At 41.4% G+C, this 15693-nt stretch overlaps 1 long non-coding RNA gene across 1 annotated transcript in view, besides 1 other annotated feature; it reads right to left on the reverse strand.

Moving 5' to 3' along the window:
* Positions 1 to 1382: 1382 nt before the first annotated feature.
* The window catches only part of SMAD3-DT (SMAD3 divergent transcript), a 79976-nt gene continuing 65665 nt past the window's right edge, over positions 1383 to 15693 (reverse strand). The window contains exons 3-6 of the long non-coding RNA NR_135686.1: positions 4334 to 4823; positions 3544 to 3673; positions 2618 to 2659; positions 1383 to 1410 (exon numbers count right to left, since the gene is read on the reverse strand). This is a non-coding gene — a long non-coding RNA (SMAD3 divergent transcript). The remainder of the gene's footprint in view (positions 1411 to 2617; positions 2660 to 3543; positions 3674 to 4333; positions 4824 to 15693) is intronic.
* Positions 12487 to 12705: a silencer, noted in NCBI's record as "fragment chr15:67287649-67287867 (GRCh37/hg19 assembly coordinates)". NCBI's record gives its function as "represses an EF-1alpha promoter that drives an FKBP-Casp9 reporter gene in an ReSE screen in HepG2 liver carcinoma cells {active_cell/tissue: HepG2}" and the evidence as "EXISTENCE:reporter gene assay evidence [ECO:0000049][PMID:32094911]".

Here is a 15693-nt window from a genome sequence, read left to right on the forward strand (position 1 = left end):
TTTCCCAATTTCTTGGGTTCCTTTGAGCACCATCTTAGCCCAGTTTAGCCAGTGACCCCTCAACTGGGCTTTTTTTCCCATAACTCATTGGCTAGCTCCATATCACTGGCACATTCTGCTTCCTGACACATGGGCCCTGGAGCCCTTCCCAGAGCCAGGGCCAAAACACCTCCTTCCAATGCTTCATCCTGGTGTCTCATCCTGAGACAGCTGAAAGCCCTTGGGGCCAGACCCACTGACCTGTCTTCCCTTTGGTGAGACATGTTGGCTTTCCCATCTTTGTGTCAAACCTTAACTCTGTAATAATCACATTCTCACAGGCAGAACTAGTATTCACTCAAGTATCCTTCCATCAAAGATGCTCAAATGGAAGACTTAAGTGCTCTCATGTGATGGGATAAACTTGAACCTCTTCATCAGAACTTCTTGGAAAACCTAGTACAGAGTCCTCCATGTTTATACGGACTGGATTTAGCCCAACCCCTGGCAATGTGTAGAAATCCTGACTCCTTTGCAGACTTCATCACTGAGCCCTGTTGATTCCACTATGAAACACCATCGCCAATCTGTCCCTTACTCTCTACCTTCATTGCCTCTCCTCTGGTTCAAGCCACCTTTATCTCTTTGCCTGAGTTATTGCCATAACCTCCTGCCTGCTTCCACTCTGGTACACATCAAATCCCTTTGCTGCACAAGCAGTTCCCCTGCTTAAACTCTTCCCTGGTCTGCCATTGCCCTGAGAATATGATGCAGGATCCTCATCCAGTGGCCCTACCATCTGTTCATTGCTTGCAGCTCACCTCCATTCATGGTTCTCTTCCCACCAGCCCCAGCCACAATGGCTTTCTCTCTGCCTTTCTATATGCCCACCATGTTCTTGCTCTAGTACTGTTCTTACTCCAGTACTGTTACCACTGCCTGGAACAGCCTCCATCCCCAGGCTGGCTCTTTGTTACACTTTATCCTATAAGTTCAAGCTTCAGAAAGGCTTTCTCTGACCATTCAAGACAAGAAAATTCCTCACGGTGTTCTCCTCTTTCCCCTGTGGCACTTACCAGACATTAAGTTGTGCATCTAACCAGACTTTCACTTGTTCAATATCTATCTTGACTGCTGGCCCATGAGCTCTTTTACAGCAAAGATGATGTCTGCATTGTTCATCCTTTTGTGGTGTAATCCACATAATAGATGCTCAAAAATATTTCCTGAGTTAGTAAGTAAGTAGGTAAACTGTCTTTGTCTGTTTTGTTTTGCTATAACAGAATACTTGAGGCTGGGTAATTCATAAAGAAAAGAGGTTTATTTGGCTCATGATTCTGGTCACTGGAAAGTCCAAGACTGGGCAGTTGCATCTGGTGAGGGACTCACATTGCTTTGACTCATGGTGGACAGGGGACGGGGAGCCAGCATCTGCAAAGAGATCACATGATGAGAGAGAAACAGAGAAAGCAACCGAGGAAGCCAAACTCTTTGTAACAACCTGTTCTCAGGGTAACTAATCCATTCCTGTAAGACTGAGAACATGCTCACCCTCACAAGATGGCATTAATCTATTCATGAGGGATCTGCCCCGATGACACAAACACCTCCCACCCAACCCCACCTCCCAACACTGCTACATGGGGGATCAAATTTCAACATGAGTTTTGGTGGGGGACAAACCACATCCAAACCATAGTATAAACAAAAGAGAGAGAGTAGGCTACAGTAAGGCAAAGGACACCAGGAGGCAGCTGATTTAACCAGCTGAGCTCTGAGCGTCCTTGATTGGCATCTGAGATCAACCACATTCTAGCTGCGTGACATTGGGCCAATAACTTAACCTCACTAAGCCTCAGTTTCCTCATCTATAAAATAGTAATTATAAGACTTTCCTCACTAGGTGATTTTGAAAATTAAAGGTAATGTATATTGACAGTCAGACCCAATGCCTGGCACTAAATAGATCTCTTCATTTATGCTAAAAACACATATTGAAAGCATCCATGGGCTGGACCTGAGCTGGGGTCTAGGGGCCACACAGGACCTGCACTCAAGGAGGATACCAGTTAGAGGCTCTGTAAATTGCAGCTATTCATAGTAATGGAACTACTAGTAGTATTAATAAACAAAATGTTAGGAAATTCTCTAGCCAGAGTGAATGAGCCAAGCCCTGTGGAAGCCCGCCTGGGAAAACCAAGGACATGAGAAAAGGGAACACAGTGTGAAGCAAAATACAGGAGCAAGGGTGTGTTTTACTATAAATTGTCCTTTGATCTTTTTTTCATGGGTGGCTTCGATTTTCCATTTAACCGAATTCAAGAATCCTCTGACGAAAGTTTTCATTCATAGAATGGATATTTACGTGTAGGTTGCTTTCAGCAGAAGGAGGTTCAGAGGTGACTGCAACATGCTCTCTGCCCTCAAGAAACTTATAGGGGAACAAGACACACACAAAAATCCAATCACAAGTCAAACCTAAAAGACACACAGGTGAAGGGGATGGAGATTCAGAGGTGGGAGCCACAGGCTTCATGGCATGTGGCATTTGAGTAGACTGTAGGACACACAGGAAGAGAGAGTGTGGCAATGGGAGAGGTTTGGGATATGGAATCGGATGACCTAGCTTAAAATTTACCCTTAGAAAATCCACAGTTTCTCTGAGCCTTGGTTTTCTCACCTGTAAAATGTGAATAATAATAGTAATAAAACTTCTCTGCATTGTTATGATTATTTTATGTCATCATCATCATACACACACACACACACACACACACACACACTCACACACTAAGATTTCCTGAGAAATGTCAGAGCCATGGGACTGAGAAACATCTCTTGAGATTCTGGTGAGCTCCCTAGCATCTCGTCCTCACTCATTTCGTCCCCTAGCAGTGGCAAGGTAGACTTTTTAGGCCTGGAGGGCATGTGCTTAGTGACGGGTGACAATGGTTGATGACAGTTGTGCCGCCTCGTGCCTGGTTCACTGCTCCACATCCTTCTACTTAATCCATCTGAGATAGAAATAACACTTCTCAAACTCTCAAACCACTCCCATCCAGTCGGAGGACTTTCAGGAACACTTGGGTGGGTCCAGCATCTGAGCCCGGGTGGGCCATCAGCCCAGGCTGCCAGAGATGCCAGTGGGCTAAAGTGGGGCAGGGCAGACACTGGCCAGCTGTCCACCCAACCCATTTCCAGTTCATCCTGAGCACACGGCTAGACTGCATTCTTGCAGCTGAGTGTGGCCAAGCAACCTAATTCTGATCAATGAAAAGTGATAGACGTGTGCTCTTCTCAGGCCTGATGGATAAAACCCTTCCACACTCCTTCTCCTTCTGGTTAACTCCTTCTGGTTAACGGTGCTCTCCAGCATGACTTTGGAGGCCAATTTAAAGTTGGCATGCCTGCCATCAGCCAAAATCTCTGAACCACTGCATGGAGAAGGATGCCCTCACGCTCACCATGTCTGACCCCAAACTAGAACAGCCCTGCAGTGTTAAATGAGGCATGACATAAACTTGCATTATGTTTGGGTCTGTTTGTTACAACAGCAATACTCACTAATATAGAAGAGCAGGGATCCCCTGCCTGAGGAGGACCAATGCAGGAAAGGCCAAAGAGCAGTTAGAAATCAGCATCCCGAGAGAATGCAAGATGTTGTGACCAAGGTGTCTAAATATCAAACGCAAGTCTGTTGGGAGTATAAATGGAGTTGAGGGTTAGCGTCTAGGCAAGGCAAGGTCAGAAATACAAGGAGATGGGTTACAGGTGGCTGTTGAAAGCAGCGCTGTTGTGCCCAGCTTGTTCTCCTGGGTTAAGCAGATTTGAAGGTTGAGGTCAATACTCTTGTTGTTGGGCCTGTCCCACATCTCAGCTTTTACCTTCTGTACTCAATCTGTTGCCTGAAACCCTAGGGCCTGGTAACTAGGACCCCGTGACCCTCCCCTGGGCCCTGGGACAAGATTGATAGCTGATATTTTGTCTGATGGTCCAACACTATTTTACAGATGAGGAAAAGCAGACCCAGAATAAATGAAGGGGCTAATTCATAAAGCCCAAATTGATCTTTCCACCTGGTCTTGGCCAGGGCACACTGTTTCCAGCAAAATCCTGCCTTTTTAATGCCCTGGCCAGAGCCTCCCCAAAAGGACCGCTTCTCTCCTCCCTCCCATTCTTCTGGCAAGCTAGGTTTCCAAGCCTGGCCATTGAGATTTAAAAGAGCTGGTTTCTTCTGGTCCCAAAGAAAAACAAGCTGGCCAATTTTCTGTTAGTCCCAAGGCAGCTCCTCACTGCCCTGGAGCCAAGCAGACACTGGCCAGTCTGTGTAGAGGGCTGAGGCTGCAGTACCCACCAGGCGGTAATGACTTCTCGGAGGGAGCTGGCTTCGGCTCAGGCCATTCCGGGTGGGGGGAGAGGAAACTGAAGACAAAACTGTGCTTCTCGTAAAGGTCTAATTCTAAAAATAAAGACAGAGTTAGCCTAGTGAGTGTCTGCAGGGATGCTTGTCTGAGTAGAGAAGTAACAGAGCCATGCCGAGGTTCTTGAGTTAGGCAACCAGACTAAGAAAAGCGTGCAAAGTAAGCCTTCTCCTGACACGATCCGCATCCCAACAAGATCAGAGCTTTCAGCTTCTGATAAATCTGTTAGGAAGAGGAAGAGTCTGAGAAACTTAAAGCTTGTCTCAAATCTAGTAAAACAATAAAGAGGAAGTATTTGTTCTTGTATCTGGAAATTTCAGAAATGTGAGCTTCAGGCAAGGTTTGATCCAGTGAGTCAAAGATGTCACCAAGTATCCGTTTCTTTATGTCCTTCTTTCTGCTTTCCATGGAATCACTGGGTTGCTAGAAAAAGGAAGAAAAAAATACAGGATGTCTATTTAAATTTCACTTTCATATAGACAATTTTTTTTAGTATGAGTATGTCCCATGCAGTATTTGGGACATAATTATACTAAAAAATTACTTGCTATTTATATGAAATTCAAGTTTCATAGAGTGTCTAGTATTTTATCTGACAGTCTTATCCTAAGATGAGCACATATTCTCTCTCTCTCTCTTTCTCTCTCTCTCTCTTTCTCTCTCTCTCTCATAGTTCCTTCTGGTTGGAGATGAGAGAAGACAGTTCTCTTTCAAAACCTCAAGCAGACACCTCCTTGTATCTTCTTGGACTGAAATGGCTATTTCTGAACAAGTGTCTATAGCTGGAGAATAAGATAAACTGATTGGATTAAGGAAAGGAGACAGACTGAAATGGCCAAATAGAAGCCTCCACTGATCATCCTCCTTGCAGGAACACCAAATTGAACAACTACTATCCACACAAAAACACCTTCTTAAGAACCAAAAATCAGCGTAGGTACTAGCTTGGTCACAGTGGGGTAGAGCACCAACTATGCTGTTGGGGTCCCAAATTCCAGGCCTCAGCTCTTGGATGGCATTTCTGGACCTGCCCTGGGCCAGAGGGGAGCCCACTGCCTTGAAGGGAGAGTCCCAGGTTTGGCAGCATTCACCACAAGCTGGCTGAAGAGCCCTTGGGCCTTGAATGAGCATTAGCAGTAACCAGGCAGTACTTGCTGAGGCCTAGGGTGGTGATGGACATGGGGAAAGGCTCCTCTGCTTGTAGAAGAAGAAGGGAAGAGTAGAAAGGACTTTGTCTTGCCTGGGTGCCAATTCAGCTGTAGTAGAAATAAAGTACCAGGTGGTTTCCTAAGGTTTCCGACTCTAGGCCCTGGCTCCTGGATGGCATCTCTGGACCCATCAGAACCAGGGGAAACTCACCACCCTGAAAAGAAGGATCCAAGTCTGGCTGGCTTTGCCACCTGCCGATTGTAAAGCCCTAGAGACTTGAGTGAACGTAGGTGGTAGCCAGGCAGTGGTTATGGCAGGCCTTGGATAAGACATAGTGCTGTGCTGGCTTCATGTCTGACCCAGTGCAGTCCTAGTGGTGGTGGTCAAAGAGATGCTTGTGTTACCCCTCCTGCAGCTCTAGGAAGCTCAACACAGAGAGACTCTGTTTGGGAGAAAATAAGGAAAAAGAACAAGAGCTCTGCCTGGTAATCTATATAATGCTTCTGGATCTTATCCATGACCACCAAGGCAGTACCTCTATGAGTCTGCAAGAGCCACAGCATTACTGGGTTTGGAGTATCCCTAATGCAGATATAGCTGCAGTGACCAAAAACTTAGATCACAGCACCCAAGCCCTTTTGAATACTTGGAAATCCTTCCCAAGAAGGATGAGTACAAACAAGCCCAGATTGCCAGACTTTGAAGACTACAATAAATACCTAACTCTTCAATATCCAGACCTCAATGAACATCCGCAAGCATCAAGACCATCCAGGAAAACATGAGCTCCCCAAACAAACTACATAAGACATCAGTGACCAATCCTGGAGAGATAGAGATAAGTGACCTTTCAGACAGAAAATTCAAAATAGCTATTTTGAGGAAAATTAAATTCAAGATAACGCAGAGGAGGAATTCAGAATCCTATCAGATAAATTTAACAAAGAAATTGAAATAATTAAAAAGACTCAAGCAGAAATTCCGGAGCTGAAAAGTACAACTGGCAAACTGAAGAATGTATCAGAGTCTCTTAACAGCAGAATTGATCAAGCAGAAGAAAGAATTAGTGAGCCTGAAAACAGGCTATTTGAAAATATACAATCAGAGGAGACCAGAGAAAAAAGAATGAAGCATGCCTACAAGATCTAGAAAATAGCCTCAAAGGAACAAATATAAGAGTTATTGGCCTTAAAGAGGAGGCAGAGAGGGAGATAGGGGTAGAAAGTTTATTCAAAGGGATAGTAACAGAGAACTTCCCAAACCTAGAGAAGGATATCAACATTCAAGTACAAGAAGGTTATAGAAGAACATCAAGCAGATTTAACCCAAATAAGATGACCTCAAGACATGTAATAATCAAACTCCCAAAGGTCAAGGATGAAGAAATGACCCTGAAAGCAGCAAGAGAAAAAAAACAAATAACATACAACAGAGCTCCAATGTGTCCAGCAGCAGATTTCTAGGTGGAAACTTTATAGGCTAGGAGAGAATGTCATTACATATTTAATGTGCTGAAGGGAAAAAAAAAAACCTTTTACCTTAGAGTAGTATATCCAGCTAAAATATCCTTTAAACATGAAGGAGACACACTTTTCCAGACAAACAAAAGCTGAGGGATTTCATTAACACCAGACCTGTCCTACGAGAAATGCTAAAGGGAGTTCTTTAACCTGAAAGAAAAGGATGTTAATGAGCAGTAAGAAATCATATGAAGGTACAAAATTCACTGGTAATTGTATGTACACTGAAAAACACAGAATATAACACTGTAATTGGTGTGGAAATCTCTCATATCTTGAGTAGAAAGCCTAAAAGGTGAAACTGATAAAAAATAATAACTACAGTAACTTTTCAAGACATGGACAGTACAATAAGATATTAATATAAATAGAAACGACAAAAAGTTAAAAAGCAGAGGGATGAAGTTAAAGTATAGAGTTTTTATTAGTTTTCCCTTTGCTTGTTTGTGAGTTTGTCTATGCAGTCAGTGTTAACTTGTCATCTATTTAAAATAATAGATTATAAAATATTATTTGCAAGCCTAATGGTAACCTGAAATCAAAAAACATACAACAGATACACAAAAAATAAAACACAAAAATTAAAACATACCACCAGAGAAAATAACCCTTACTAAAAGGAAGACAGGAAGGAGGGAAAGAAGGAAGAAAAGACCACAAAACAACCAGAAAGCAACAAAATGCAGGAGTCAGTTCTTACTTCTTAATAATAACATTGAGTGTAAATGGAGAAACTCTCCAATCAAAAGACATAGAGTGGCTGAATGGAAACAAGAACAGGACCCAGTGACCTGTTACCTATAAAAAACACATTTCATCTATAAAAACACACATAGACTGAAAATAAAGGGATGGAAAAAGACAGCCCATGCAAATGGAAACCAAAAGAGATCAGGGGTAGCTATATTCATATGAGACAAAATAGATTTCAAGATGAAAACTATAAAAATAGACAAAGAAAGTCATTATATAATGATAAAGGGATTAATTCAGCAAGAGGATATAACAATTGTAAATATATATGCACCCAACACTGGAGCACACAGATATTTAAAGCAAATATTAGAACTAAAGAGAGAGGCAGACGCCAATACAAAAAGAGCTGAAGACTTTAACACCTCACTTTCAGCATTGGGCAGATCATCCAGACAGAAAATCAACAAAGAAACATTAGACTTGATCTGGACTATGGACCAAATGGACATAATGGTTATTTACAGAACATTTCATCCAATGGCTGCAGAATACATATTATTCTTGTCCGGGCACAGTGGCTCAAGCCTATAATCCCACCACTTTGGGAGGCCGAGGCTGGCGGATCACGAGGTCAGGAGATCGAGACCATCCTGGCTAACACGGTGAAACCCCGACTCTACTAAAAATACAAAAAAATTGGTTAGGCATGGTGGCGGGCACCTGTAGTCCCAGATACTCAGGAGGCTGAGGCAGGAGAATGGCGTGAACCCGGGAGGCAGAGCTTGCAGTGAGCTGAGATCACGCCACTGCACTCCAGCATGGGCGACAGAGCAAGATTCCATCTCAAAAAAAAAAAAAAAAAAAAAAAGACATATTATTCTCCTCAGCATGTGGATCATTCTCAAGAATAGACCATATGTTAGGCCACAAAACAAGTCTTTAAAAATTCAAAAAAATTGAAATTGTATTGAGTATCTTCTCTAACCACAAAGGAATAAAACTAGAAATCAATAACAAGAGGAAATTTGGAAACTATACAAACACATGGAAATTAAACAGTATGCTCCTGAATAACCAGTGGGCCAATAAAGAAATTAAGAAGATATTGAAAAATTTCTTGAAACAAAAGATAATGGAAACACAACATACCAAAACCTATGGGATACAGCGAAGACAGTACTAAGAGGAACATTTGTAGCTATGAGCATCTACATCAAAAAAGCAGAAAAACTTCAAATAAGCAACCTAACTATGCATCTTAAAGAACTAGAAAAATAAGAGCAAACCAAACCCAAAATTAGTAGAAAAAAAAAGAAATCATGAAGATCAGAACAGAAATAAATGAAATTGAAATGAAGAAAACAATAAAAAAGATTATTAAAACGAAAAGTTGGGTTTTTTGTTTGTTTGTTTGTTTGTTTTGTGACAGAATCTCACTCTGTCGCCAGGTTGGAATACAGTGGCGTGATCTCTGCTCACTGCAACCTCCGCCTCCCAGGTTCAAGCGATTATCCTGCATCAGCCTCCAAAGTAGCTGGGATTACAGGCACGTGCCACCACGCCCAGCTAATTTTTGTATTTTTAATAGAGACGGGATTTCACCATGTTGGCCAGGATGGTCTCGATCTCTTGACCTTGTGATCTGCCCACCTCAGCCTCCCAAAGTGCCGGGATTACAGGTGTGAGCCACTGCACCCAGCCGAAAAGTTGGTTTTTTGAAAAGATAAACTGATTGGCTTGGTAAGAAGAAAGAGGAAAGACAATGGATGTTTGAAAGTGCCCAACATATATATACTACGGTGGACTTCCCAGTATCAGTCACAGAATCCAAGTTCCCCAAGGTTAGATGGGGCCCTAAAGATCACTAGAGGATTAGTTCAAACTGCCATATGAATGACAATTTGAACTACAATATAGTTCAAATTTATAATATCTATATAGTTATAGTTCAAGTTTATAATATCTCAGCCTTTATGTTCATCTCTCTACTATCAGGGATGTTCCTTCCAAAAAGCTCATTCCATCTTTGGTTGTCCCTGGCTGTTGGACATCTAGTTGAAATCTTCTTTTCTTGTATCTTCCACTCATTGGTTCCAATGCTAACAAGAGGGATCTCTCTATAGGGCAGTTTCTAAACCAACTCCAGATGAATAATCACCTACTAGGCACAAGGTCCTAGGCTATCTGCTTTAACATTGTCCACCTTATTTAATCTTCCCAACACCTTTGAATTAAGCAAGCCCCTTTTTATGGAAACACAAACTTGGGAGTTAAGCCACTCATCCCCAGAATACACAACTAGTGGCAGAGCTGGATTTGAACACACATCAGACTAGATCCAAAGCCAACCCTCTTACCCCTTCATCACGATGAGGAATCAACAGCTTTCAAATATCGGATGGCAGGGTCCCAGCTCCCTTCCTCTCCAGACTGAGCATTCCAGAGACTCTAGTCCCTTAAGTTTGTGCCCCAGATAGAGCATGCTGCTCAGATGTGCTCAGAAAAACAGAACGTAGCCAGGGATAAAAGAACTATGGGGATGGAGAAGAAAGCAGCCCTGAGAGCTTCACATACAAGTTACTCATCACTTGATTTCATCCACTTGTTGACATCAAGTTGAGTGCCTGTTATGTGCAGACACCATGTGAGGCAATGAGGATGAAGAGAGAAAGAGGGAGAGTGAACAAATGAGTGAAGAACAGAGAGAGGAAGGGAAAGAGAGAGAAAGAGAAGGGAGGGAAGGAGGGAGGAAGGAAGGAGGGAAGGAAGGAAGGAAGGAAAGAAGGAAGGAAGGAAAGAAGGAAGGAAGGGGAAGGGAAGAAAGGGAGGGAGGAAGGGGGCCCAGTGTGGTGGCTCATGCCTGTAATCCCGTGTAATTCCAGCAGCACTTTGGGAGGCTGAGGCGGGAGGATCGCTTGAGCCCAGGAGTCTGAAGCTGCAGTGAGCTATGATTGCACCACTGCACTCCAGCCTGGGTGACAGAGAGACCCTGTCTCTATTAGAAAAATAAAATAAAATAACAATTTTAAAAAGGAAAAGAAAGAAAGGAAGAGCCTAAAGCATGAGGGAGCTCGTGGCCCAGAAAAGAAAACAGATGTAAAATCAATAATTACTGTAAAATGTTATATATGTGTGTATTTATATCTATATATCAATATAGATATATGTTGATATATGTTTACTTATATATATCAATATAGATATATGTTGATATGTTTACTTATATATACATCTATATTTATATTGATGTATATATAAATACACATATGTAGAAACATATACAGAAACATTTGAATATTTAAATAACAGCATAACTAGGGTGCCGTGAGTCTGGTCATGGGGCAGTCCATGGGGAGATGGCAGGCAGGCCAGGCAGGAGGAAAAGCCTAGGCATGGCACAGAGGGGCAGACATAGCTTTCAGACAGCTGAGGATTCAAGAAGAACCTAGATGGAAAAGTATTCCATTCAAAGACTGCCGTACACCAACGGGACTATTCTTACCTTAGTGTTGGAATGACAGGACCTTTGCTCCCAAGGCACCCCTGAACTGGGCCTGCCTTCCTGAAACCCCAGGCTGTTTCTGCAGAAAACATTCTCTCCATACATTTAAAAAATTGATGATTCATTCCCACAGAGAGGAAACTTATTTTGGCATTTGAAAACATAAATGGGCAAAGGACACAGGCGGCTCACATAAAAGGAAGCATGGTTAGTAAACAGACTGTGAGGAAACACAGTCAACCTGGCCAGTAATCAAAGAAATGCAAATTAAAACAACTGAGGCGCACATTTCCACCTATTAAATTAACAGCCATAACAAAAAGGTTGAGATGATTATATTCCATTCTGGTGAGGTCTGGGGGAAAGCAGTAGCTCTGACGTTGTTGGAGGTAGGACCAGCCCCGTGATCTGCAGAGTCCAGTGCAAACTGAAAATGTAGCGCCTCTTTTTCAAAAATCATTAAGAATTTCAAACGGCCAGGCTCAGTGGCTCATGCCTGTAGTCCCAGCACTTTGGGAGGCCAAGGCGGGCAGATCGCTTGAGCTCAGGAGTTCAAGACCGGCCTGGGCAACATGGCAAAACCCCATCTCTACAAAAAATACAAAAATTAGCTGGGTGTGGTGGCATACATGTGCCTGGAGTCCCAGCTACTCAGGAGGCTGAGGCAGGAGGATCATTTCAGCCCAGGGAGGTTGAAGCTGCAGTGAGCCGTGATCGTGCTATTGCACTCCAGCCTAGGCAATAGAGCCCTGTATCAAAAAAAAAAAAAAAAAAAAAAAAAAAGAAAGAAAGAAAAAGAAAAGAAAAGAAAATTCAAGATGGCAACAACATAGAATTAAACCAAATGCTCTTCTAAGTCCTCACTGGAAGTCCTATAAATGAGTGCAAGCCTGTTATGGGAAAGGCATCCCTTCCCCTAACAAAGTGGTCTCTTCGCCTGAAAGAAGATGTCATCCTCTCCCACCTCTGTGGAGACTTTATCATCAACTGTCACTTCTCCCTTTACATTTACCCTGCTGCTCTCGACTCAGATTTTCCCATCAGCATTCAACATACACACAAGTCCTCCTTTCTGAAAAAATATATGAAACCAAAACTCCTTCCTCAAGCCCTCACTCTGCCTTCTATCCTCCCACTCTGCCGTCTCAGTCACATTCTGGAAAGGTTGCATAAACACACTACTCCCATCCCCCTATTTCTCATTCATTTTCCCACCCTGTTTGTTCATCATTATGTCTTGCCAAGGTCACCATGGATTGACTTCCATTTGCTGAGGCCTCTCAGCAGCATTTGACACTAGCAACCACTCTCTCCTTCCTGTCACACTCTTCTCTTGGCTTCTGTGACATCATGTCCTCCTGATTTTCCTCCCACATCTCCTGCAGGCTCTTTGGCCAGCTGTCTGTATACTGACGACTCATAAGTTCACGGCTCTTACCTAAACTCTGCTCTGAGTTTCAGACACACAGTCCAGTTGCCCACTTGCTGGTTCATCCTGTCTATTTCAAAGACACTTGAATTCCTTATGTACAAAACTACCCCAATCGCGTCCTCTTCCATTGATCCTTATGTCTGCGGATGGTGCTATCATTCCTCTTTCTTACACCAGGAATCATCCTTCAGATTCCCTTCTCTCCTCTCCTTCCCACTACATCTTAAGTCAAAGCCACTACCAAGTTTTGCCAATTTTACCTCCTCAGTACTTCCTAAATGCATCCCCTTATCCCCATCTCTATCCCCATGCTCATCGTCTAAGCAACTAGCATCCTTCATCTGGACAACTGCAAAGCTCTCCATTGGTACCCCCATCCTTTCTCAAGCTCCCTCCCACTACACAACAGCCAGAGTGTTTTGAAGCACACGTCCTGTTCAGTAGGATCCCGTTGCTCCCAGGATAAAGACCAAAGCTCTTCACATGGCCCACAGCCCATGCATGGTCTTGCCCCATGCTCCCCCACCCATTTGGCTCCAGCTATTGCGGTCTTCTTCCGGTTCCATGTGCTTTACCAAAAGGCATATGCACATGCTACTCCCTGTGTCTAGAATTTTGTTCCTTTCCACCTTTGGTCTAGTTAGCTCCTAGTCATCCTTAAGCCCCAAGCACAATCACTTTTTCCTTAGGAAATCCTTCCATTAACCAACAGGCAAAGGAGAGTTCCACCATCAAATACTCTTACAGCTCCATGCCTCTCTCCTTACTAATACTTAGCATGGTTATAATTGCATCCATCTGTGCGATGACCTGATGGAGTCTCTCTCTGCAACTAGACAGCGGGATCTATGAGAATGGGCTGTATGTTTTTCCTCACCATTGTAACCCTAACACTTATTCAGTGTCTGGCAAGAAGAAAGTGTTCAATAAATATTTGGTGAATGAATGAATGGAAATCCCTTTGACAATATATTTTGAGAGTTATAGAAATTACAGCTATAGTTATGTTTTGATTCAATAATACAACTCCTAGAAATTTATCCCAAGGAAGTAATCCAAAAGAAAGAAAATATTAAATATATTTATATATATGGAAATATTAAGTACGAACTTTTTCTAATAGCAACATTTTAAAAAACACGTGGATATGTTGAAGTGTGGTAAATCCACAGAATAAATAACGTGGTCATTAAAAATAATTGTGAAGACTAAGTAGCAATGTGAAAAACAGATTACAATATTACAATTGTTTTTCAAAAGCTGAATGCAAAATTGGATTTCTACAACTACGTAACAATGTTTTATGCATGCAGACAAGTACCAGATGGGAACAAGGAAAAATAAATGAGTTGAATTGTCCAAAGAGTACATTATGGTTGAATTTTCCATTTCATTTTGATTTCTCTTTGTGTAGTTATAATATTGTTTTTATATAAATAGTACTTTAGTGTAATCTATACATTTTATCTAGCAATAGGTTGAATAAAACAGCAATGTTAAACTAAGAAGCCATCAAAACATAGCTAATTACAATTGATTCACTGCTCAGCGGAGTCACAAATGCCTAATAAATAATGTTATTTGCGAACAACCTTATTAGCCACTTTTAAAATAGATCTCATAACCATATATATATATACATATATATAAACCCTATGTTTATAATGTTTTATGAACATTCATGTACATGTCTTTGTGTGGACATATGTTTTTGTTTCCCTCGGGTAAATACCTAAGAATAGAATGGGTGAACTATATGGTAGGTATGTGTTTAACTTTTTAAATAACTATCAAACGGTTTTCCAAAGTGATTGTGCCATTTTACAACCCTACTAGCAGTGCATGAATGCTAGTGGAATGCAAATGTTCCACATTCTTACCAACATGTGGTATGATGGTCGGCCTTTTTAATTTTAGCCAGTCTAGTGGGTGTGTATTGTGGTTTGGATTTGTATTTTTCTAATGATTCATAATGTCAAAAATATTTTATATTCTTATTTGATATCTGTATCTAATGTTTGGGGAAGTATTCATTCAAATCTTTTGCCCATTTTTAAATTGAGTTATTTTTCTTTTAACTGTTGAGTTATAAGATATATTTATATATTCCAAATACAAGTTCTTTATTAGATATATTTTGCAAATATTTTCTCCAGTCTATAGTTTGCCTTTTCACTTTCTTAACATAACCTGGTCTTTCGGAGAGAAAATTTCAAAATATTTATGAAGCATAACTCAGCAACTTTTACTTTTATAGCCTGTGCTTAGCCCATGATCACTAGATTTTTTTCCTTCTGTTTACAGAAACTTTATAGTTTTAGGTCTTACATTTAGGTTGGGGGCCCATTTAGAGCCAGGTTTTGTACTTGGTGTGAAGTAAGCATCAAGGCTCACATTTTTGCATATGGATATCCAATTGTTCCAACACTATTTGGTGGAAATATTAACCTTTCCTCATTGAACTGCCTTAACATCTTTGTCAAAAATCAATTAACCTGGGGAAAGAATACTTTTTTCAACAAATGATGCTGGAACAACTAGATATCCAGGTGCCAAAGAATGAAGTTTAAACCCTACCTCATACCATGTACAATAATAAACTCAAAATGGATCAGAAACCTCTAAGTAAGTGCTAAAACTATAAAACTCTTAGAAGACAACATAGCAGTAAATTATTACCTTGAGCTAGACCATAGTTTCTTAAATATAAAAATTAAAGTGCAAGCAACAAAAGGAAAAGTAGATAAGTTGAAACACATCAAAATTTAATTGTTTTGCAAATATTAATAATAGCATCAAAAAAGTGAAAAGCAATAGCAAAGACATGGAATCAACCTAAATGTTCATCAATGGCAGATTGGATAAAGAAAATGTGGTACATATACACCGTGAAATACTATGCAGCCATAAAAAAGAATGAGATCATGTCCTTTGCAGGAACATGGATAGAGATGAAGTCCATTCCCCTTAGCAAACTAACCTAGGAACAGAAAA

The sequence above is a fragment of the Homo sapiens genome, chromosome 15 (assembly GCF_000001405.40).
Source record: "Homo sapiens chromosome 15, GRCh38.p14 Primary Assembly".
Lineage (NCBI taxonomy): Eukaryota > Metazoa > Chordata > Mammalia > Primates > Hominidae > Homo > Homo sapiens.